This window comes from Homo sapiens, chromosome 4 (genome assembly GCF_000001405.40).
Source record: "Homo sapiens chromosome 4, GRCh38.p14 Primary Assembly".
NCBI classification, from domain to species: Eukaryota; Metazoa; Chordata; class Mammalia; order Primates; family Hominidae; genus Homo; species Homo sapiens.
In genome coordinates this window covers 54,718,324-54,741,754 of record NC_000004.12, presented here as the reverse complement: position 1 = coordinate 54,741,754, position 23,431 = coordinate 54,718,324, and the positions used below count along the sequence as shown (strand labels likewise).

Below are 23,431 nucleotides of genomic sequence, written 5' to 3'. Positions count from 1 at the left end.
ATGGGTTATGTCAGTACAGGAACACCGCCCTCCCTGCTTAATAAGGTGAATTGGCCGTGGAAAAACTTATTAGGCATATGAACGAGCTGGTCTTGACAGCCTCACATTAATACATCAAGGTAGACACTACTCCCATGAGCTGAGATTTCAAGAGCTAATCTGCCTAATGTCACACAGTGGTTAAGTGGTAGACACAGGGGTGGCACTGAGATTCGAACCAAGTTTGAGCCTGGGCACCAAGACCTGGTATTCCTTTCCAATGAAAAGCTAGGCTGGTGAGGAAAATTAGCTAGACTCTTAACACAGGGGACTGTCAACTGCTTCTAACGCAAATTTCTCACACATGACAAAGGCTAAATGACAGTGAAAACATTTGGAAAGAAAAGACTTCTTTGTTTTGTGGTCAATTAGCATTCATTCCTGTCTGCAATAAAATAATGGGAATTGCCTGACTGAAATGTGGGTCTGTTTTTCACTGATTATTGACGCATTCCTTGCCACACAATTCCCTCTGGATTTTAAAAGGATTCCTTTTCATTACAGGTCACTTTTCACCCCTTCCCTTTCCTTTCAGGAGACATTTCTGCAGGTGTAGATGTCACGTCAATAAAGACAGTCATGACTGAGGGTGTGTGGGTGCCTCATTCTTAATAAGATTATGTGATTCAGGGTGCTTCCTTTTGTTTCAAGCTGAAGAACTCTCAGCCTCTGTTTGGGTTCCAGTGGTCTGGACGGTACCAATTGGGCATGCATAATGTTTCACCCACATGACAGCACCCAGCTCATACATACTAAGCACCTTCTCTGTATCTATTTTTCAATTTAAATAGAGACCTCAGGTTGTAAGACTAAAATGAGAAAATATCACACGTATGAAAATTCTTAATATCTGTTGAATCTCGAAGCATGTAAATCCTAGCGTGATCTGATAGCCCTGCACATATTTTATGAAAACTGCGTACAAAACTTTGTCAGGATGATTGCACTTTAATGCTTTAAAGTTTAATCTCAACGAATCTCAACAATCAAATGACTCCACTTGATTTATATATGTACATTTTATTAGAATTCTTCAGAACTGTCAACAATTGGACAACATACAGGAATAAAACACGTGGAACACCAACATCCTTTAAACTTACGCCGCTTATGTATTTACACATAAAGTTACTGTATATATAAAAAATATTTTCAAGGACTCATGGGCTTGGGAATATTCAAAAGACATTATTGCTACATTTCAATATTTACAAAAAAAGCCACAAAATAATTTCAAACATTAAGCCACTGCAAAGAAACATCTGATGTAAGAAAAAATTATAAAAATATAAACTTTCAAGAATATCCAAGACAAAACTCTCAATGAAGTGCCCCTGAAGTACCTAGACATCTATAACTAACAACCACTTTTCTTACTATCATTGAAGTCAATAGAAACACAAAGGAATTTTTCAGACAAAGTATGGCAAACAACAATCTCTTGGGTGACAACACAACCCCAAAATCTGTTAACTTTGGAAAGGTGCGAGAGCATAGAACTCCAGTGCAAATGGTTACTTCCAGATAACGGCCACAGTTCTCTAAATGTAGTCTAAGAAATGTAGAAGGGGGAAACCATAAAGGCAACATACCTGAATCTTTCAAGACAACACACAAACTCTGCCATGTACACATTTGCCTTTTATATTGGGCAGTGAGGAAGGGGAGTTTTTTGTTTTGTTTTGTTTTGTTTTTAAAGAGGTAAACTACAAGAATAATATCCAGGCTACAGTCTAAAGGGTAAAATTTAAATGTTTCAGTGAGACAGTAGCATTATGGAAGGTCTAAGGAACAGGTACAGTAAGATGAGTCTAAATAACAGAGTGCCTTAAGTGCAGGTGAACTGCAAATACATAGGGACTGATGCCTTCCACTTCCTCTGCACCACTATGGAAGCTTCTGGTAAGCTACTCTAGACAGCTATGTGAAAAGAAACAAGAGCAGTACTAATAATGAAAGCCAAGTTACTTTTCAGGTACTAAAGGACCCTCTTGGACTCAGGGCAAAAATACCCCTCCAAATATTTGTCTACACACATACAAACGTACATACACATATATAGATACTGGCCCGGTGTCCAGGACATGCCTGCGAAGGAGGCTAAACCTATACTTTATTTCCTGCTACATAAGAATCCAAACTAAGATGGCAGTGTTTTCCCACTCCTGTGGGAGCCATGCAGTGAATCAGTAACTTTGTCAAACAGCATCAAATCCATTGAGTACAATGCCATTCTGAAGCTGATAGGCTTGTTCCACAGAATCTACAGAATAAGTTCATCAGCTAAAAGAGGAGATTTTGTTCAAACTGTGCTTTGTGGTTATATTGTTTCCTTAAAAAATGGTATTAACTGTTTCCTTCAAACTTATATGGCTCTTAATCTACTTCTATACACAGTGGACATAATGCCAGGGTTGTATACAGAAACGAAACCTTATGGTGTTTTCCCCTCAAATGTATGAACACGGACAATTTATAGATGCGTATATACAAGTGCTGGCTAGGGAGGCCTTCTCTCCAATTCAATGCTCTAATAGCAAACTCTATTTAAAAACCAGGTCGGTAGTATAAAAGCTCATGCAGTGGTCCACAGAAGAGCATCTTTTGTTCACACTTGGGGATCATTTTTTTCATGGCCTATGTCTCATTCCCAGCATGAAATACTAGATTTCTTAAGCCCAGGTGTTCATACTCTGTCCTTTGTTCTAATGATGTTCTGTTTTCCACATAAAGGACTTAGGTTTTCAGCTTCTAATCTTGTATCATCATACTACTATGGATGGTTCTGAAGGCCAACTGTGATTACTACCATTTATTCAGGTAAACTATCAACCATATTTTTGGGCAGAATTGGAGAAGCCTTGGAAAGGACTCTGGCCCCCAGTCCATACCTCCCTCTCTTTTTCCAAATCAGAATGTTTTCTGTTCATGGTAGAAGCTACGTTGCTATTGGGAATATATACAGTTGGAACCTTTGCAATAGGATGGTGGCTGATGACAAAAATCATCGGCCACTAAAGTGTGCTCAGAAAGACAGGATTGCAGTGGGGTGCCCACTATCCTGGAGTTGGATGCAAGTTGAAAGAAAAGAAAATAACCATCATGGAAGCCAAAAGAAGAGATCATTCCTGGAGGGGTGACCCAAACACTGATTCTGCTCAGACATCGTCGTGCACAAGCAGAGGCTGGGAGGAGGAAGCGGTGCTGCCGACAGAATTGATCCGCACAGAATGGTCTACCACGGGCTTCTGTCGGTTGGGGCTGCAGTTTGCTAAGTTGGAGTAAATCTGGAGAAAACAAGCCCATAGTCAATACAGCAGTCCCTACAACGAACATAGCAACAAAAGGCATACTTACAGTGTCAAGATCACAACTAACTGATGGAAACTCTTAAGAGAGAAGTGGTTTCCAAGAACTTTGTGGCCAAAACCCAAGTCATACTGACAAAACAAATATAAGCTTTGTTTTCCCCCTTCATTTTTCCAAGGAAATAACTTTATACAAGAAGTGGGGACAAAACATGCACAAGCTTAGCTCTTCTAAAAGGGCACACCAGGCACCAAGCACTATCTTACCTATTTAAAAGGCTTGTAAATCTCTCCAGCAACTACAACCCAATAACCAATGTAATTTGCTGGGAAACCCACGGCCCTTCCAGGGGTCTCTTGTCAAGAATCAAAGCAACTGGGTGGAAAATGCTGTTCAATTTGAAACATGTTTTGACACCCAGAAGAACAAGCTTTAACCCAAAAATTATCAGTGGTGTGCTATTAGGAAAGAAAAGATAGCTCCAAGCACACAGCCCAGGAAAGAAAGCAGCTTAAAAAAATCTGAGTCAAAGTATCACTAATTCTTGCTTAAAAAGAGAGGAAATAATGGATTTGAGTTTTCATTCCCCCACACTTCCCAAATCACTGGGAGGGATCTCCCAACTTCAAACAGCTCTTCATTCTATATGGCTTGTGGGCATGACAGCTATCTGCCATTTTCTGGCTATGCTTGTTTGATCAGAAGGCTTATTTCACTGCAGTAACAAGCTGTCTTTTCTATGCTTTTATTCTAGTTCACATCACCCCAACCCTCCAAAGGATGCATGGCCCTGACATGTGAGAGGGAGAAAATACTGACCCCGTGACCAGCATTTGAGATGAGGGAGGAAACATGGCAAATCCTTATGGAAACTTCTACTTCCAGTGAGTACAAAACTCTCCACCCTTCCCCCTCAATCTCACATCCTTCTTTGGCTCAGAACAGGAGGGCTGGGCAGAAAGAACTAGTTTCCATTGCTTTACTTCCCCTACCTGAAGCCCAATTTGCAACCTAAGATTAGGAGAGAAGGGGTTGGGAGGTTAGTCCTCACCCTGAAAGCCTGAGGAGGAGGACACACCTGGAACTGGGAGAAGGGGGATTCTATGCCTGGCCAGGGTATACTCACATGATTGGTGCTCTCTGAAATCTGCTTCTCAATTAGCTGAACAATTTGCTTGAATGTTGGTCTTTTTAGGGGATCTGCATCCCAGCAAGTCTTCATTATGTCATACCTGCAAGACAAGGGCCATTTACTATCCCTCCTCAATGCCCTCAGCTTGTTTTCAAATGTATGGGCATCCAGCAACTTCAGTAATAATTCCAGGGCTATGCAACTGGACATATGGACTGACATATAGATAACATAAAACACTGCATGTATGAAATATTACTGAAACTTTCTGTATTTTTGGTGACAAGAGATTATGAAAATAAACTACAGAAATGACATTTGACCAGTGTGTCATAAAGAATCCAAGTGACATTTCAAACTGTGTTATGAAAACCCTCAACATCTGGGTTTCTGTCTCTAAAAAGAAAAATAAAAGGGAAAACGTGACCTAAAGGAAAAATTTTTTGGCTCTTACATTTCAGCAGGTGCGTGTTCAGGGCTGAGCATCCGGAAGCCTTCCTTGATCATCTTGTAGAACTTAGAATCGACCGGCATTCCAGGATAGGGGCTGCTTCCTGAGACACAGTTTGCAAAGCAGTGTTAATCACAAGGAAGCAGGACACCAATGAAACTTCAAGAAGATGCTCTGAGTCTAATGAAGTTGTCTTTGGCAAGGATCATTTTACCTAAAGAGAACAGCTCCCAAAGAAAAATCCCATAGGACCAGACGTCACTTTCAAACGTGTATACACAGTTGAAAATGCTTTCAGGTGCCATCCACTTCACAGGTAGTCGAGCCTGTAATAGAAGCACAACAGAGTCAATAATGTTAATTCAGAAGCTCAACAAAATTGAACAGAAGATATTCTTATAGATGCTGCTGTTGCTGAAATGTGGAGTGATAACTTGAGTACCATCTCACAAAAACCTTTTACCTATATGAACTCAGATGATCCCAATCACCTCTGAAATACATGGCTCACAAGTGCATTATCCCCATTTTAAGATGTGAGCACTATGTCAGTACGGCATGGAGATTAAGAGCACAAACGTCAGAGACAGCCAGACATTTTAGCCCTGGCTCCACCATGGGCCTTAGGTAATGCAGAGATTTGTTAGTTTCCACTGAATATGTCCCTCTCCTTCCTTAAAAACAGAAACACGGCCTCTCACAATTAGGACTACATTTCCCAGCCTCCTTTGCAGCTAGCTAGCTGTAGTTAGGTGACTCGGTTTTGGCCACTAAGTTGTAAGTGCTGTATAGCAGCTTCAGGAAAACCTCCTTACAATATAGCTGGCACGTGCCCTCTGCCCTCTCTTCTCTAGTGCAAGGGCCCCCTGCCTTCTGGATATGATGGCTGGCTATCCACCTGGTGGTCATCTTGGACCATGGACATGGGGGTTACACTCAGGAATGGCTAAGCATGGAAAGGAAAGACTTGCCCGGGTACTCCATGGAACCTTTATACCAATCCTGGTATAAAGTCTACTCCTAGACTTCTTTTATTTTGGGTTTTCTGTCAAAACCCAAAACTTTCTCTAATACACTGGGAAAGTCACTAAAATATTTGTAATTAAGCCTCAGTATCTTCTTCTGTAAAACAAAATGAATACTTTTAATTTTATGAATTGTCTTGTGGGTTAAATAAGATAAAATGGGTAAAAATGCTTAGCACCGCCTGACTCAGTGCTATCTGAAAAATTGCCTAGAAGAAAGGCAAGTACTTGATAAACAGTAGTGGCTTGTGATCCTGACTCTTTGGAGAACTCTCTCCATTAAAGTTGAGCTAAACTTTCTGTAACTAGTCCTTTTAGATGCATTCTGGATTCCCAATCTTAATCTGCCATAAAAAGCTAAATCAATCCTTCTCTTAATCCATTTAGGATTGAAAACTGGGAAAGCTTTTTTTTTTTTTCTTTTTTTTTTTTGGTGTTAAAGTTATTTTAGTCAGCTTACAAAAACAAAACAAAAAACTTCCAATATCCCTTCCCTTCCTAGATGTTGTGCTAAAGTTCCTATAAGGGCTCCTAACCTGAGATCTATGGGTGTCAAATTCAGGGGCCTGTGAACTTGGAAAGGAAAAATGACATCCTTATTTTCGCTAATTTCTAGATGAAATTTAGCATTTCTTTAAATTACTAACAAAGGTGATAAAACGCAGTAGTATCAGCTGTACCTGTGACTTTGTCATGAACAGTAATCATAAATATCTTCATATCCTATTAAGTCTTTATAGGTATCTCAAAATCATATTTACATTAATCACCACTCTAAAATTACAGTGGTTTTTAGAAAAAATAGCAAAACCCACAATTACTTTTACACCAACCTAACAGAGCCTGTTACACTCTATAGTAAACACATGTACTGACATATCACAAATTTACTTAGTATCTTCATAGCTATTTCGATTTAACTGTTTTCCTTGGTATTCCTATGTATTTCATCATAGGCGTTGAAAACAGTGTTCTGATAAGGGTCCCATAGGCTTTACCAGGCTCTAAAAGGGGCCATGACATGAAAAACAATGAAGAACTCATGTGAAAGGAAAGAACTTCAGAGAACCTGACACAACAAGGAGATCTCAAATGATGATGACAAAAATGTGGGGCGGTAACATATATGAGTTTCCTTCTTCTTATCTTGTTCCAGAAATTCTCCTTACCCACTAGCCTGGTGAAAGCGAGATCTGTGATTGGTTAGTTCAACTGACTTGAACTGGAGTCTACAATCTGGAAGCCTGATAGAGCCAACCCCTCTTTGTCATTTCAAACTAAGGTCACTAACCAATAACAAGACAGTATGTAACCACCGTCACGATTATTTAGATCGTAAATAAGACATCTATAAAGAATAGTAACAATATGTCTGGCACTGTCATAAGCACTTTACATATATTAACTCATAACTTTCTGAGTCAGGAATCACTATTATTCCCAAGGGGAGAAAAACAAAGATTCAGAGGTATTGGACAACTCTTGACAAAATTACACAGGCATGAAATAATGGAGACAGATTGCAGAATTCATCAAGACTGGGCCTGGAGGCGGCCACCTTCTTCCTCCTCCCTTTGGTCAATATTCAGAGGACTGGATAATTAACGACTTATCATTCTTCCTTCCAAAATTGCACCAGGATGAAGAGAAGTTGTTTTTATTATCACTCCTGATGATAATATCTAGCTTCAGGGCAGCCTTTTCAGAAATTCATGCTTTGGCCAGGAGATAAACACAGAAACACTCTTACAAAACCAAATCGAGTACAGGCTACCAATAGAGACGCCACAGTGATGGGGGGAAAACATTACATTATCATAAGGGGCACAAAAATCCACCTCCAGGAATAAATCTGGACTGCAGAAATGGGCCCAGGAAGACAGGCAGAGAATATTATAAAGGGCAATATGGTTTTCCATGGCGATGGGATGCCACTCTGGAAATCACAGGCTCTAGTTTCAGCCTCTATTGTCCTGTGTCACCTCAGATAAAAAGCACTAAAATATGCCATGCCTTAGTTTCTCCAACTTTTAAAATAGGAAGGTGCTGCAATTATAGGACAAGGGTTTGTTCTGAGGATTCAATAAAAATTGGCAAGGAAATACAGCACTTTGAAAAACATTTGCTATGTTCTACAAACCCATTATTACTTATGAACCTATTTAATAGCTCTCCGTGTATTCTAGGATCCAACATTCTATATGGCTAACTCTGAATATGATCTTAGATTTTAATATTTTTCACACGGCATGCCAATCCCCCCAAAATTTCTCCTGCTGTGACCTTCAATGACCTACATTTGTTACACTTGAGCAAAATCAAGTTCATTGCTATTCTCAGGCTATAATGAAAATTAAGGCTATTTCTGTTTCCTTCACATGCCCCAAAATTACACAATTAGAATTAGGACTTCTATTATTGAATGTTAGTTGTAGTAATGTTCAGCATACCATGCAAATTTTGCTGAAGTATACTTAATTTGACTGCTAAAATGTGTGATATCCCTAGACAGGATTTACATTATGAAAATCACAGGAAACAATTTTTATCGAAAGTTGAAACTAAAAATCCTTTGCAGGACTGTCAAGCAGAGAATGGGTACTCACGTTTCCTTTAACCACATAATTAGAATCATTCTTGATGTCTCTGGCTAGACCAAAATCACAAATCTTTGTGATCCGACCATGAGTAAGGAGGATATTTCTGGCTGCCAAGTCTCTGTGAATACACTATTAGGTTGGAGGAGAAAAGAAAACCATTTAAATTCATTTTAACTTGTAAAGAGTGAAAACTAACTTTTTAATACTATAGTGTTGCTTATATTATAAAAAATCCAATACTTTTGTTTTAAAGTATTCAGTACACCAAAAATAAAAATCAAAAGTACGCCTTGAATGATGTTCACATAATCAAGAGTCTAATTATTATAATCTCTTTTAAAAGCAATTCTAATAAATGCTGTTTTCTTCTCAGGACTGCTTTCATTCATAGGGAAATACATAAGAAATAGTCATATCATATTGTTTAAACTGAAAATTCATTTTGCATGCATCTCTTTGAATGTCCTTTCACAGAGTTCCTAATATGCCTTTGCAAATTCAATCTGACATCTCCCAAGGACACACGGAAGAAGGTCTTTATTTCAGCCATCTTATATCCTTTCTTAGTTTGGTAATTGTTGGGAAATGTCACCCATGACATTTAAGGGTAGGACTGGTAACTCATTCTGTTCGGTTAATCTTACTTCCTAAGGAACTCCTTTCACCCTTCCACAGACCATGCTCCTTGTTTTGGTTCCATCATTCTTTCCATTCCTAACCTTCTCCCAAGTGTTTATTACTCCCTCTGACCCCTTATTTCCTGACACTTCATAAGCCACACATATAATATTTGGATCTAACTTCAATAAAACTCAAGTCTATGCTTCACCCCAAGCCTTGTAACTATGAGGTGCCCTCTGCTTTTACTGATAAAATGATTCTGTTCTCTAGGAACATATCCTATATCCTAAAAGCCAAAAGTTTTAAAAGAATTTCACTGCATATAAAAGAATATTCATAGAAAAACTCATTTAGACAGGCTTGTACTTTACAGCTTATAAATTAGAACAGGAATTCCAAAGAGACAGCAGTTGGAACATGAAGAAACTAAATTTCCTCTGCTTTTGGTTACCACACTTCAAAATGACATTCTGCATTTTAACTATGGCTCTAAAATGCTCTGTTCTCAAAAAAAAAAAAAAAAAAAAAAAAATCAAAAAAACAAAACACAAAACTCTTTAGAGAATCACTCCCACTTACATTCTTGGAGGCGAGGAAAGCCATGCCCTTTGCCACCTGGTAAGAAAAGCTCAGCAAGTCTTCTAAGTCTAGGGCCAACTCGTCATCCTCCATGATGGCGGGAGTCACATCTCTTTCTATGTATGAGCCTGTGAGGAAGAGAGGATTTTTCTTAGCAATTACAACCATAAAGGTCAGGAAAGGAAAAGACAGTGGCAATGACATACCAAAGGCTGGTAATGAATGAACTAATGTGAACTTGCAGGCAGATCACTTCCCTGGTGTCCAGGAAAGGTAGATGCTGAATCACAAAGTTAATATTTAACAATCCTAGGCTGGGTTACAAAATCCATAGAGGAGAGGGATGGCGAATTAAAGCAAAGATCCCATATCTATAGAAAGATACTCAGGCACAAAAACATATGCTCTGACCCCAAACACCCACTTGCAACCCTAACTGCCATTGACCATTGGCACTGCTACCATAAAGCAGAACTGGTCTGCATCATTGCTACTGGGAATGATGTTATATTCCACATTAGCATGATATACATACTCTCTGTAAAGTTACTCTTGGTTGCTTGATAGGTAGGTACTCACCTATTCTCACAGATCTCCTTTTGTCGGCCTTGGTTGGGACAACATAAGAAACTCCAGGTTTCATGTCCATGTACTCATTAGTACTATCGCTGCTGGGAGAGATGAAACAAGTCATGACTGAATCAAGTGGGACATGTAGAAGGGCACTCATGGGTCATGCTCTACCTCCTCATCCCCTTTGCTACATAATAGACTGGACCAATTTGAGGAAAGTCATGTAAAGTTTGAATAAAGAGTTTGAAAATCCTGTTCTGTAAGAAATGAGTTTTTAATAATCGATATTGGGGTCCATGCCCAGAAACTAGGTGTCCTTTTTGTGTATAATCATATAGAGGACTCAGGTTAGAAATTTCCCGTCTCTTGACACAATGAATTTAATGGGAGACAGAGAGCCAAATATGGTATCCCGTATTACCTCAAACTCTCTAAATGAGCCCCAGGAGACAAGATGAAAGAAAGACAAAGAAGAGCTTCCAAGACGTGTTATGCAGGAGGCAGAGATCGTTAACATATAGTGACTGATGGAGGAAGGTTTAAAAAAAAATCAAGTTGGTTCAGATAAACACCAATAATTTGGATGATTTTCTGAACCATCTGGACCTCTTCAATCTGCAACATTTGGCTGGAGACTCTTCAAGATTTCTAGTACTTCCTGCTTCTGATTAGCATAGAAACACCATGACAACAATCTCCTTCAGAGTGTGCTGGTGGTTCCAATCCCATATGGGATCCCAAAGCACAAAGAACATCACACAGGATTGAACAATTTAGGCCATTATATCAGAAAGTTAAAGGATATATATAGGGCCAAGGTTTCGGAAAGAAGCAAAATGGCTCATTTCTTCATATAATGAGCACATGCCCAGGAGAAACTAACAAAAAGTGGTTTTGTACAGTTTCTACTACCACTTTAAACTACTCAAGTTTATAGGATTAAAAAAAAATAAAAAGTTTCACCTGGGGTTTTAAACTTTAGCCAGAGGTACAGAAAATGGCTTTAAGGGGTAATTGCCCATCAATAATATTTACTGAGGTCTCCTTGAGGACCTGGTGTTAAGAGTTCAGGAGGCAATGTCTTGCCATTGCAAGATGCAGTGGATATAAAGTGCATGAAAAGGATAGGAGAAATCTACCACACAACTGCAGCAATATACAGTATAGGGGACTGGGCAAAATAACCATGACTTCTGTTGGACTGGGTACATCTAGGAAGTCTTCTCAAATGGTGGCCCTTAAGAGCATTTCCAAAGAAAGAATAGGCAAGATATGAGAAGAATTCTTTTCTGGTTGTAAGTCAAACTCAAAGCTCTTTATACATGATTCAAATTCAGAATGGCATCAATGATGAAAGAGATGAGAATAATGTCCAGAATTTTTAAAAAATGTGCTGGAGTAGTTATGTCTTTTAATAGCATGATGAAATAAAAAGGGCAAGAGGCAAGGTATACAGGAATAATCCAGAGGTCGATGGCAAGAAGCCTACATGTGGAGATATGTTCAGAGCTCTTTGTCATTCTGCTAAAGGTTTTAAAGGGACTTTACTGTGGCAACTTGAGAGGCTTTAGCATTTTCCCTATAAACAGTATCTCACTGGAAACATGCATGTAGTACCAAGCTCAATAGTATAAATGGAAATACATGCAGGACAGAACCGTAAGAGAAACAGATATAGAATGCATTCAGTTGCATGGAACTAAAGTGTAGAAGAAAACTGAAAATACATTTTTAAAAAATCAGCAAAAATCTAGGTTTGAATCTTTAAAAACACAATTTAACTTTCTAAACTGTTAATCACATTTAAATGATTTAATAATTTTGATTTCATACCTCAGAGTACCTCAGTTCATTTTTTAAAGAATCAGCCTTGATTGCAAACCCTTATGACCCCATGAACTGCCTGTCAACAGCTAACTATTTATGTAAATCAGTCTTACCAGGAAGACTCCTTTGAATGCAGAAGATTCTTATAAAGTGCAGCTTCTGCATGATCTTCCTGCTTTGAACAAATAAATGAATCACGTTTTCTTCTCAAAAAATTCAAAAGATCACCATAGCAACAATATTCTGTAATGACCAGGGTGGGCCCTAAAAGCACATAAGAAAAGGTTAGAAAGAAGGTGAGATATATAGATTAATTCTGCCTCCCATAAAAATACCCAAGGGTGGTCATGGCCATTAATATTCAGCTTCAGTGGATCAGACTACTTAGTCCCAATACAATCCCATATATTAACACTGCTTATCAAAAAAGCAGCCTTATGTGGAGTAACATAAAACAAGCAAGCCTCTTTTAACCTGAATTTCTAAGTGACATTAGTATTTGGAGCCAAGCATGACTGCTGGTTTTACAGAGAGAAGTTACTGCTTTCAAAGATTCTACTATTATCAAGCTTCCTACGTGAATCCTCTGGTTCACTTCTGTTTACAGCAGGGCTTCACACACTCTCTGTAACGTTATTATGGAAATAATGAAGGCACAAACTGTGGCATAGTGGGAAAATCAGCCACAAGGAGCAGCCAGCTGGGACAAGACTGGAAAGTGAGTGAAAACCTAAAATGACCTGTGTTCTGAGCGCTACTAGTTGAAAAATTTTTTGGTGCTATGAATGTTTAAACTGTAGTTTAGAAGTAACAGGCAACTAATTAACTTGGGTAAGAAATTTTCTCATGAACAATTCATGATGTGGTGAAGCAACATTTATGGGGATTATTGGAAGACATGATATAAGGCTGTCAACTTTATCGTGGATCTCCAGAAACAGCTCATTTTACACATCTTTGTTTCTTTCAACTGAAATACTTTCTGCAAACATCACAGACATCCTTGATGGGAACTTCAACTAAGGCTTCAAATTGGAAACTTATTTTTAGAGAAGTGAAATGTTTGCCTCATTTGGTGTATATTTGAGAACCAGTAGGCTTAGGCGCCTGTTTTAAATTGTAGTATGCAAATTAATATTAACCCTTTCAGTGGCTACATATGATCAAGAAATGTATAAAGCTTACAAGATAACAGAAGCCTTCTGGTCGGGATGAGATATTCAAGAGGCTGATGTCGTTGATGTTACAAATACGACAATAACTAGGGTATGTCCTGGGCTGTTCTACCCCATAATGATAAAATTAAAATCTGCATTCTTAAGAACAATGAGGAAAACAAAATCTAGCAAGAGAGAACAACAGTCTGGGTAAAAAAATCTTCCAAGCAGTTTATAATCTAGCATTGCCAAAATCATATTAAAATGTCATGTTTTGATAACCTGACAGACAATAAAAGGCAGCTTGGACACGGCTTTACCTCCAATGGTGCAGGCTCCAAGTAGATTCACAATATTCATGTGATTACCAAGGTAACTCAGGACTTTGAGTTCAGACATGAGGGCTTCCCGTTCTGTCAAATGGGCACTCGCTAAAATTGGAAACATGCATTTTAGCAAAAAGCACAACTGGCAAACTGATGTCAAGCGCATGCAGTACCATACAGGAACTTACGCTTGAGCATCTTTACAGCGACAGTCATGGCCGCATCTGACTTAATTAAGCCATAAGCAGTTGCCTCAACAACCTTCCCGAAAGCTCCAGCACCCAGGGTTTTCCCTGTAGGAAGGAAGACAACAAGGTAAGTGGTGATGGTGCTGGTGGTGGAATTGAAGGACCATTTGTGCAGTTTCAAAATCAATAAAGGAATTAAAAACAATGTTGTCCAGAGACATTTTCCTACGATGTTCTCTATGGCAAACCTATCAAAAGGGGCGCAATTTCACAGAAAACTCATTGTTTCAGGTGGAACAAAACAAAGGAAGCCACTGGAGTTCCTTAAAGTCACTGTTATGTGTACCCAAAAAGGTGACATGGAAAGCCCCTGTTTCATACTGACCAAAACTCAGCCTGTTTCTGGGAAACTCCCATTTGTGATCATAAGGAAGTTGTGTTGGGTCTATGTAAACATAATTGTTTCCATTTATCTCCTCAACAACCTTCCACTGTACTTCATACATGGGTTTCTGTGGGGAGAAAGGGAAAAATAGATCACCTTTTAATAATTATTGTCTCAGTCATTAGAGCACTCTGGAGAGAGAACAAATAAATGGTTACCTGTAAATATTTGTAGGTCAGAATCATCACAATAATGCACATCATGCCAGCTACGATTACGAAACCAATCAGCAAAGGAGTGAACAGGGTGTGGGGATGGATTTGCTCTACAATGGAAGAGAAATGTGGAATCACAAACTTTGGCAGGATGGGATCTCTACCACAGCCACTCAGTCCCAAACTGACCCCACCTCCCAACTCACAGCCCATGGCAGGATGCAAAGCTATGTGAGTCTCAGAGCTTCACCTTGGTTACATTGTACTCTTGTTATTCAAATGAATCTTTAAAAATATAACTTGAAACCACAATACTGCAGAATAGAAGTTGAGATTTCTGTAGAAAAGGAATAATTTATGCTGTTTTTCAATGAAAAGCAACATCTGAATGCACTTTATACTTCAATCAAATTCCTGCCTTGTACAACTTTAAAAAAAAGAAGCTTCCTTTATGGACGGTTTATATTTTCTTCTTTAAGCTTTCCTGTATTTTCCAAATTTTCTACACTGAGCATGAATGTCTTTCACAACCAAAAAAAAAAAAAACATTTTTAAGGTATTCTTTTCGTTGCCCTGTCTGAAAAACATGGAAGATTCTTCCCCTCACTACTCAAAACCTGAGAAAACACGCCACTTTTTGGCACTAGTCTTTGCCGACTCAAAAAACGAAAACAACAAACAAACAAACAAAACCCCAAGAAGGCCTAAAAAGTAAGTGCCCAGTTTCTTTGTCTTCCCACTTTGTACCAATTCATCAGTTTGCCCAAAAGATCTTTTAACTTGTTAAGAGAGTTAGTCACACATGAATCAAATTTTAAATATTTTAAAGAAATAACTTGCTAACATGACTTCATAAAGGCAGTGTTAACTTTTGGATACAGTGTCTGGCAAAGTGTTAAAATAATTCATTTTAAATAACTGAAATTTTTAATTGAATTTAAATTTTAGATTGTTCTAATTCTGTTTGGGTGTAAGGTAAATATATTCCCCCATTTGCTTTCTCTAGCTCTTTTTAATGGAGACAATTGTAAATATACAACTAATAGAGACACACATACATATAAAATATATAAAGTAGCATGGTTAAAATTGCTCTGGTAAAAGCATATACTTAACAAGCTAGTACAAAATGAAACTTAGTGAGTTTGATGACAGTATGGTGTGATGCATGTATTACCAGAAATGACATGGTCAATGTTGGAATGAACTTAAAATCATGACTGATATGGTAGACAGAGCCTAAACATCCCCTTAAATTGGATTAAAAAGAAATATACCTTTGTTGTTACCTTTAAATGCAAAGTTAAAATAGGCAGAAGTCTTGCCCACATCGTTGTAAGCCTTACATTCAACCGTGCCATTGTGCTTGAATGCACTAGAATCTATAGAACTCTGAACCACTAGCTTTCCAAACGGTGGCCCAGATGAGTTTAGTGTCTGCACATCCACTGGCAGTACAGAAGCAGAGCATCTAAAGGGAAGAAAACAAAAGCCCTGGCTTACTCTAGGAAAATAAATAAATACATAAAACACTTGGGATGTGGCATACTTTTAAAACAAAGTTAGAGGTTCATAATCAACAGAAAATGTCCTTTTACAAGTGTCTAAGAATAAGCACTTTGGTGACCTAGTGAGTGAAAAAAGCACTGGGGAAGAGAAGGCAGAGGAGGCTTCGGAGTCAGATGCGGGTTTGAATCCTGATGAGTTTTTAACCCCCACCAACACTGAGTTTCTACGACTGTAAAACAGGGATAGTAATACCCATTGCAGAGGGTTACTGAAAGGATTGGAAAGGAATTCAATAAAATGGCAGGCATATATGCTGGTACACAGTAGATCCCTAAAATAAACAAGCTTCAAAAGGGTACACGAATGGTTGAAAAGAAATAGCATAGAGGAGGAAAGCATAAAAAATCTTCAAGGGGCCGGGCGCAGTAGCTCACACCTGTAATCTCAGCACTTTAGGAGGCCGAGGTGGGCAGATCACCTGAGGTCAGGAGTTCAAGACCAGACTGGCCAACATGGTGAAACCTCGTCTCTACTAAAAATACAAAAATTAGCTGGGCGTGGTGGCAGGCGCCTGTAATCCCAGCTACTCGGGAGGCTGAGGCAGGAGAATCACTTGAACCCTGGAGGCAGAGGTTGCAGTGAGCCAAGATCACTCCATTGCACTCCAGCCTGGGCAAGAGAGTGAGACTCGGTCTCAACAACAACAACAACAACAAAATCAAGGATGTAGACCAGAAAATAGTCAAAGTGAGGACTGAAGTTTGAGTTCTAAGCAGGAAGGCCTAGTTATACTGCAGGTGGCTGAGACCACCACTGCAAGGGATCCTTTTCATGAGCCAGACCCCGACTTCCCTATTCTAAACACCTAGCTATTCCCTGTTTCCTTTCTTAACACCTACATACATTCATTGTTTATTCCATCTATTATGTGTTTCTACCCACTAGAACAAGCTTATCCAACCTGCAGCCCACATGTGGCCCAGGACGGCTTTGAATGCGACCCAACACAAATTCATGAAGCTTAAAACATTATGAGATTTTTTTGCAATTTTTTTTTTTTTTAGCTCATCAGCTATCGTTAGTGTTACTATATTTTATGTGTGGCCTAAGACAGTCGTCTTCTTCCAGTGTAGCCCAGGGAAGCTAAAAGACTGAACACCCCTGCACTAGAACATAAACTCATAAAGGCAAAAAGACTTGGGTGTGTTCTGTCCATTAGAATAGTGTCTGGTACACACTTGCCACTCCCTGTGTATCTACTGAATGAATGCCTGTAACTACAGGGCTTGCTTCTGCTGTGGCCATTCCTCCCAGGGGCCTTGAACCCTACTTAGTATTCCCCAAAAGAAAACACTCTCCTAAACCCCAGCTGAAAACAGCAATCCGATGTAACCCCTTCCAACTTGTTGTGATAAAGAGGCTTATTCCATGAAAAATAAAATTTCTGCGACCATACTAACTATTCAATTGTGATGTTAACCTGGGCTTTTAAAGCCTGAGCATAAAATAGCAATTGATGGATAAAAACAGCTGTGGTGACCCCATTTTCGTCTTCAGGTAATGCAAAAGGGCAATTTAAGGCTTAAGTGTGGATGGTGAGGGGCAAGCAGCACAGTGCCAGATGTTCTCTGTTCAGGGGCTGGGCACATTATCAAGAAGAAACCCTTTTTAAAAGCGGTCGCTTGCAAATGCCATATGTATGTTGTAATTGTGCGATCATTACTTTTTGGTAACTTGGCAATTAACTACTGAGGTAATTTTTTCATGATAACTACAGTCACATTTCCCACACACATTACCTCCTGTGTATAGAATGGAAATCTAATTACTCTGTCCTGCAAAATTGCTTTATCTACCTGCAGGCTAGAAATTGCATGATAAATCCAGAAAGATAACACCAAAATAGAGAAGTCATTCAGTAATGATTTTTCAGCAAACAAAATTAATGTCTACCAAGAAAAATATAGCAATTATCCCTTCTAAAAAGCCACATGGCTAGAAAAAAAACAATAATCAAAACAAAGCTTTTTTAAAAAAAATCAGAAAACATATTTGAAATTCAAGTGAATTGCAGTCCTTCCCCTCTGCATTATAAGCAGTGCCAAAAATAATCATCTCACCTCTGCTCAGTTCCTGGACAAAAATACCAATCTATTGTGGGCTCTGGGAATCCTGCTGCCACACATTGGAGCATGCCATTCACGAGCCTGTCGTAAGTCAGGATTTCTGGTTTTGCTACAGGAAAACAGAAATGGCCATATGTCAGAGTGCTGGAAAACCTCAGCAACATTCACTTCACTCCCTCTCTAATCCCTACAACCTTCCTGAGGCTGCTGAGTAGCCTGAGGGAGCAAGTTCAAAGGGCAGAATCTGAACCAAGGAGTGGAAGGTACAAGGAGGCGGCTGTCAGGGTCCAACCCAGAAAGGCTTTCCCAGCCACAGTGGCCCAGCCCCAGAGGAGATGGCTGAGGCAGAGGTGGCAGGGCCAACTGCAGGGTTTCTGCTTTCAGGGAGTAGGGATCTGAAGACTGCTTCTAATCAAACTCTAGGACTCCAAAGTGTTCCACAGGTAAAAATCTACTTTAAAGGATTCCTGCCAATGGGATTTCAAGCAACTGTACCTGCCCTAGGAATTTCAAGTTATTGTGGGAACTGGAATGGATGAAATTAGGAGTTGTTAGAGGAAAAGATAAGCCCCACTCTTTTGCTCTTACATGAATTTTCTCCTTTTTGGGGGTGGAAGGGTGGTGCCGATTAAAAGCCGAATCACTCTATTTACAGGGAAGCTAGAACATAAAGAGTAAAATACAATATGGGCTTTACTTCAAATCTTTGTTTCAAATGCAAAATATGAACAGAAAACTAGAAAAGAAAACCAGCCTAAGATTTATATATTTATGTATATTATGAACGTGAATATATATATATAAATACATATATATAAATATATATACATATATATAAAAATATATATAAATATATATAAATACATATATATATATAAATATATATATAAATCTGAATATATTCACTGTAACAGCAGAAATGCTCTAATTTGGTATTTCTATGTAACTACAATAACCAGCTAACACTCAAGAATTTCTAATTTTTGAAGTTATTTACAAAGTGAAAGGAAGATGCACTTATACTCGGTGGTTCTGATGGCAATACATCTGAAGGATTCCAACCCTCTAAGAATAAATAAGCTCAACAGAAGCAACAGGATGGCAGGGATGCTGATATGCTCACCCTGTACTCTGAAGAATAGCATTGATTGTGCCAAGTCTAAGCACAGAATTACGGGAGCCCCATGCATAGTGGACACATCTGAATACCAGCTCTTACATTTCTCAGTTCTTTGAACTTGAGTAAGTTTCTACATCTCTCTAAATTTTTGTTCCCTCATGTGTAAAATGGGAATAATAACTGTGCCCCTCTCATAGGGATATTGAGACAATTAAATGAGATGGCACATACAGAGAGCTAAGAATGACTTATAGAAATGAAACAATTATTTATTATTATTATTGCTGGGCACGGTGGCTCAAGCCTATAATCCCAGCACTTTGGGAGGCTGAGGCTGAGGCAGTGGATCACCTGAGGTCAGGAGTTTGAGACTAGCCTGGGCAACACAGTGAAACCGCATCTCTACTAAAAACACAAAAATTAGCTGGGCACAGTGACATGCGCCTGTAGTCCCAGCTACTCGGTAGGCTGAGGCAGGAGGATGGCTTGAACCCAGGAGGCAGAGGTTGCAGTGAGCACCACTGCACTCCAGCCTGGGTGACAGAGTGGGACTCCATCTCAATAAAATTTATTATTACTATTAATACTGAGTTATTATTTTATAATCAGAATATCTACCTTTCTTGGATAACCAATTTCACTACAAATGAAGTGAACTGTATTTGCCACTCTAAATATTCTCCTCAATAATCTAAAAATTCCTTCTTTAGAATAGTCTGATAAGGTGTATATTTTAACCCAATGCGCAGGGAATTCAACATCAATTATATTGCAACTGATAGGGAAAATATATGCAGTGAGAAGGAAAGACTGACAGATCAGAAACTTAGGAAGTTTATTTCCCCAAAGGAAGGTAACACTGATAAATGACATCTTTGTAGAATAACCTCTCAGCACCTCACCTCCCTGGAGGCACCTCCCTGGAGTTGGCGGAGATCAGAGTATCCACATGCATGACACACCCACCTGTCACTCAACCTGGCCCTGCTGATGAGCAGGCCATTTGGCTAATATACACAAAAGAGAAACTCTCCAAAACAATCTCAAGGTAGGGGCATCCTTGAGAGTTTGGATCCAATGCCAGCTTTACAAATAGAGCAAGAAGACAAGCCATCGTCTTGCGAAAGCATCCATCTGGCAAGTTTCATTTAATTATCATGGGCAACTGTGTGATCAGGCTGAAAAGTAGGACACGACACAAGAAATCAGCAGACCCTTAGGAGAGTGCTATTTGCTAGGGACTCTAGGTGCCATACTGTGGGTCTCTCTGGACTCAGTTTAAGTGTCACCTCCTTTTCTAAGCAAGCCTAAACTCTCTGATGCCAAGCTGGTCTCTCTCCTTTCCTTATTCCCAAAGCATTTAAGAACACCTGACGCTGGTATGCAAGATCTTGGTCTGCCTCCTCCATCAGACTCGATGTTCTCGAGGGCAGAAACGACATCTTACTGATTGAGTATACTTGTGACTCCTAGCTCAGTGAGACCCACAGCAGGCACACAGTAAGCACTGTTGTATGATGAAGATCCCACCCAAAGGAACAAGTCTCTAAGATTCCAAAGGCATTCAATTATAGAGTCACAAGAAGAGACCTGTGGGAACAGCCTAATGGTGACTTTCGTAAATACGGCACTATTTCTATTATTTTTGCAATGGAGGGCCATGAGATAAGAAATCCAAGCGCCTGACAACATGAATTTTTTATAACACTGAGATGAATGATGAGTGGGACCAGTCTACACAAAGATGGTAGAGATAACTGAATAGGACTCAAATAGGAGCTAAGTTCACAACATAGATGTACTCATACCTATATTCCCTTAATACTCATACTTCCTAATGCTCATAACACTACATGGTAAATTCTTAGTGAAATTAAATATTAACTTAATAGGCGGAGGAAAGGCTGAAAGAACACTTTAAGATGATGTTAACAATGGTTATCTCTGGGTAGTAAGGTGATGAAAAGTTTCTATTTTATTCTTTTATTTCTAATTTTATTTTGCAATGAATGGGTAGCTGAAAGTGAACCTATAAAACATTGTTTAATTAAAAAATTGGAACAGCTCAAAATTACATAATCAATTCCATTTAGCTTTGGTTACAAGTATGCTCTAACATCCAAGCCTTCTAGCGTGACACCTGGTAGCAGTTATACAACAGCCATGGCTGGCAACGGTGTGGTCTGGCTGGCCTACTTGTTCCCATGTGCCGGTTAATTAAGCAGTTTTGTTAAGTTTCTATCCCAGGTGGGTCATAACCTGAGGCTAATTGAGCAGCTTTTGTCCTGCTGGCCTTAGGTTGGCCAACCAAGCTGACAGGGTCCTAAATCTTCAATATGCCTTAGACTCTCTAAGGGAAGAGAATAAATGCACATTCCTGGGCCGCACCTCCAGAGATCTAGTAAGCTGAGGGTATAACCCAGCAATGTACCTTTTTAAAGGGCCTTTAAGGAACCCTTATCAAAGCCAGGACAAGAGTAAGGCAAGAGAAGCACCCAGGGCATAAAAATAAGAAGGCACTAACCCTAAAGGGCCTATGAGTGGGTATCTGTGAGAGCACCTCCTTATATTTCACACTCTAGGTGCCTTTCTTGCCTCACCTCGGTCCAGCCCTTTCCCTAACACTGGTGCTAAGAGACCTCCTTCTGAAAAGGATGAGACACACTAGTACAGCATGAGCTGTACCTGGCAAGTTGCATTATGAAAATGTTTAATGCATAAAGAATGAGCCAGGTGGAAATCTAATTCCTAAAAATGAAAATCTGGGCTCATCTGCATTTTATAAGTGCCTCAATGCACCGTGTTTGGCATTAAATATACATCTTGCCTTTAAAGATACATAACTCTGCAGTTCTCCAGGTTAAATCTGAGCTGTGGCTTCTTAGATATTCTGCAATAAGCAGTATAGCAAATGACACATTCTCTAATTCCTCCCAAGTTGGAGGTTTAGATAAGCCTAAGAGGTGTATAAGTTATGCATTTCCTGTGGAGATAAAAAAAAATAGCCTTTTTGCCTTTAAAAACATCATGGACCTGAGTCATTCTGATATCGCCAACAACACCGATCAGCTTGTAGGCAGATTTCAGATGCTTGTAACTCTGCTGAGAATTTATTGCTCATGCAATTAAAAATCCTACACATCCAGTGATTTACCCCACAGATTTGTGATCTTGGAAAATATTCCTTTTCATCACCATCCAGTCCATGTGGAAAGCAAGAACAAAATGAATTTTAAGAACATAGTACAGATAACAAAGCTGAGGGCTGGTGGCTGAAAGGCAATACACAAGCCAATGGTAGAAGGGGTCTTCCTTTCTTCATCTAAATGCAGGGAGGCATTTTTTGATTAGAGTTCTCTCACCCAGCCACTTTAACCAACTTCCGCTATAAATGCACATTTGCCCATATTTTATAATCAGCAGGACAAAAAACGCAAACACTTAAGTCTCCAAATAATAAAAGACTAAATGAAGAGGGATCATAAGAATGAATTTCTGTTTTTAAAATTCGAGGTTTGCTGGTGTTTAAAGGCAATGAAGCAATGCTTTTCCGGAATTTTTCACTATCCCGGTTTTGGTCTGTGTAAAACCTACACTTGTGCCATAATACCATTATAATAAAGAAATTTAAGTCAGCTAAAATTGGAGTAGAAAAATAACCTTACTTATAAAAGGAATATTATACTTTTTAAAAAATTCCCAGGATAGATATTTTGGACATATACTGTGTCTTATACATTCTTAAAGATATCCAGAAATTGGCATATGGACACTAACAGAAGTTTATTTAACAAACAAAATAAAACTTCAACTATAATCTCCTGTACCTATTTATTTTAACAGTGACTGTCATTTTAAAAAGAAAAAAAATCATTCTCTTAATGAAGTGATTTTCTCAACTAGGGCTCAGCAAACTTTTACTATAAAGGGCGAGATACATATTTCAGGTAAATATTTTAGATTTGTGGGCCATAAGGTCTTTCCTGCAACTCAACTCTGCAGCTGTAGTACAAATGTGCCCATAGACATTATATAATCAAATAGGCATGGCTGTTTTCAATAAAACTTTCCTTGTGGACACTAACATTTGAGTTGTATTCTCATGTCTCATGAAATCTCCTGATTTTTTAAAACTAATCAGAAATAAATTCAATAACGTTCTTAGTTTGTGAGCCATTCAAAAACAGGTTATAGGCCGGGTGCAGTGGCTCACGCTTGTAATCCCAGCACTTTGGGAGGCCAAGGCAGG

The 23,431-nt window shown here is 39.0% G+C and overlaps 1 protein-coding gene across 8 annotated transcripts in view; it reads right to left on the bottom strand.

Annotated features, from left to right (window-relative positions):
- Nucleotides 1,040–23,431, bottom strand: part of KIT (KIT proto-oncogene, receptor tyrosine kinase) — an 82,759-nt gene continuing 60,367 nt past the window's right edge. For 2 of the 8 annotated variants that reach the window (NM_001385284.1, NM_000222.3), the window contains exons 8-21: nt 18,057–18,171; nt 15,705–15,898; nt 14,431–14,537; nt 14,213–14,339; nt 13,828–13,932; nt 13,634–13,744; nt 12,270–12,420; nt 10,336–10,427; nt 9,757–9,884; nt 8,563–8,685; nt 5,146–5,257; nt 4,935–5,034; nt 4,475–4,580; nt 1,040–3,326 (exon numbers count right to left, since the gene is read on the bottom strand). In NM_001385284.1, the coding sequence (NP_001372213.1) occupies nt 3,198–3,326; nt 4,475–4,580; nt 4,935–5,034; nt 5,146–5,257; nt 8,563–8,685; nt 9,757–9,884; nt 10,336–10,427; nt 12,270–12,420; nt 13,634–13,744; nt 13,828–13,932; nt 14,213–14,339; nt 14,431–14,537; nt 15,705–15,898; nt 18,057–18,171 (1,700 nt within the window). In that variant the 3' untranslated portion in view covers nt 1,040–3,197. The remainder of the gene's footprint in view (nt 3,327–4,474; nt 4,581–4,934; nt 5,035–5,145; nt 5,258–8,562; nt 8,686–9,756; nt 9,885–10,335; nt 10,428–12,269; nt 12,421–13,633; nt 13,745–13,827; nt 13,933–14,212; nt 14,340–14,430; nt 14,538–15,704; nt 15,899–18,056; nt 18,172–23,431) is intronic. The other 6 variants (NM_001385290.1, NM_001385285.1, NM_001385288.1 and 3 more) reach the window with 3 other exon arrangements.